Source organism: Homo sapiens, chromosome 1, assembly GCF_000001405.40.
Source record: "Homo sapiens chromosome 1, GRCh38.p14 Primary Assembly".
Classification (NCBI taxonomy): domain Eukaryota; kingdom Metazoa; phylum Chordata; class Mammalia; order Primates; family Hominidae; genus Homo; species Homo sapiens.
Window position 1 is genome coordinate 168,624,189 of NC_000001.11, and position 2,249 is coordinate 168,626,437.

A 2,249-nucleotide genomic window follows, 5' to 3' on the forward strand; every position below is an offset into this window, starting at 1 on the left:
GACAGTCTCACTCTGTCGCCAGTCTGGAGTGTAGTGGCGCAATCTCGGCTCACTGCAACTTCTGCCTCTGCCTCCTGGGTTCAAGTGATTCTCCTGCCTCAGCCTCCAGAGTCGCTGGGACTACACGCACGTGCCACCACGCCCAGCTAATTTTGTATTTTTTAATAGAGACGGGCTTTCACCATGTTGGCCAGGATGGTCTCAATCTCTAGACCTCGTGATCCACCCGCCTTGGCCTTCTAAAATGCTGGGATTACAGGCGTGAGCCACCGTGCCCAGCTTAGATGGAAAATTTTAAACGGGCAGTGGCACCTTCTTTAGCTTTGAGAGAAGAGAAACACGGAGGTCACTGGTGGGCTTAATTAAGGATAGCAGAGAGAGGGAAATTAGAGGGGAGTTAGAAAAGGAAGAAGAAGAAAAAGAAGTAAAGGGAACAATAAAGGAGGGACACATTAAAAGAGAAAGAAAAAAAGTGGCTTGAGGAGGAGGCAAGAAAAGAGTGACATTATTTAGAATTGAAACTCAAGCTTTGGGGATGACCAATGAAAGACAATTTAATTTGTAAAATAAATTCAGAGGTCAAAGGGGTCCCAGAAAAAAGGTGTTTAGGAACATCTAACTCAGTGGTGAGATGTTTTGGTGAATTTGATGAAATTCATGGACAAAAAATGCATGTAAATTACAACTTCTCTGTACAATTTGATGGAGTTTATACATTTCCTAAAGCCAATCTGTGGATCCCTTCTTAGGAGATTTTGTTTTATGTGTTTTTATACATCGTTCTGAGACAGCGATAAATGTAGTTTCCTCAGGAAGATCTGAAAGTCAAAACAAAAAGCTTACTAATATTTTCTTGGTGTCTTCTCCACAGCATGAATATCACTTTTCAAATCTAGCTGTGATCATATTTAAATATTTAGTCAATTTAGGCATATCTTTTTTTAATTTCAGGTTTTGTCTTTTTTTTTTTTTTTTTTTTTTTTTTTAGAACGTTACTATTAGTAAATGGTCCAAGGGCTCTGGGCCCAACAGAAGAATATCGTCACTTTGAAGAACAAAATTTACCTTTGGAGTGTTAGACTTTTTCAGGCTGGAAGTCAGAGGTCCTCTGGTGACTCCTCAAGTGACAAGGCTTGTTTTACATTTACACAATAAATTGAGGAGAATAGAAGTTTCATTGCATAGTGTCATGAAGGAAAGGAGAGATGATTGTTTAGGAACTGGGCCATCTAGGTTAGTGTAGGTTGAATACCCTGGTTTTCTAGTCCACCCAGCAGCAGGAGTCTGTTGATTTCCCCTCTCGTGCTTCCCTGTGGTGCTGCCTTTGATACCGTCTGTCATTCCCCCTCCTGCCACCTTCTTTCTCTTTAACAGATTCTGCCTGCTCAGCTTTTGCCTTGCTGTTTTCTCCCTCCAAGTATTTTGTTTTCTTTTCCCCATTTTTAAGTGCTGACCTCTTTGAATGTATTCCAGATTGCCCATGAGAGCCACTGGTGGATGCTTATTCACCATCACTTATGATGGAGACTTTCATGGTCATTCCACAGCAGCGGCTCCTGGGGCCTGTGTCTAGCCTCGGCCAGTCTCTGTGACCAGTGTCACCATCATGTAGTCAGTGCCCTTCGCAGCATAACAGTTTCTTCTCCAGTGTAATAGCTGTTGCACTTTGTAGGTTTACAAAGCTCTATTCTCATATCCTGTGCATTGTCTGATCCTCACAATAATCTTACAAGGATTATTATCATGCCCACTTTGCACACAAGGAAATGGAGAGTCAATGGAGTTGCAGGGAAGACTCCAGGTCACTCAGTTATCAAATGGGAGAGCAAACTCAAATCCAGGTCTTCTGATCCCAAAGTCTTCATGGATAGCAGTAAAGAGAAGAGAAGTTGGGGGCAAGGCAGGAGAGATGTGAAAACTGATATGGAGATAAAATGACTATTTCAGAGGGTGAAAACATTGGTGTGCATGTATGTGTGTGCTACCATTTTGGTTGGAACCAGCTCTGGGGGGTGCACTAGGGAAAGAGAAAGGGTAACAGAGCGGCAGATCCAGCAAATTCTCCAGGCACTGGGCACAGGTGCCAAGGCACGTGTTCTTTCACCTGCCTATTCTTGATCTAGAGATCAGCAACATCAGAGGAAAAGGATAAGGGCCTCAGCAGTATATGCAGAAGGACCTGCAAAGGGTCCTCTGAGCTGCAAAGCTTCCCGTCTCCCCAGTGCCATTTAGGAATGCGCTGTACGTTG

At 43.3% G+C, this 2,249-nt stretch overlaps 1 annotated feature.

Annotated features, from left to right (window-relative positions):
* Positions 1,007 to 1,508: an enhancer, noted in NCBI's record as "NANOG hESC enhancer chr1:168594433-168594934 (GRCh37/hg19 assembly coordinates)". NCBI's record gives its function as "activates a minimal SCP1, AML or CMV promoter by ChIP-STARR-seq in naive H9 embryonic stem cells {active_cell/tissue: H9 hESC(naive)}" and the evidence as "EXISTENCE:reporter gene assay evidence [ECO:0000049][PMID:30033119]".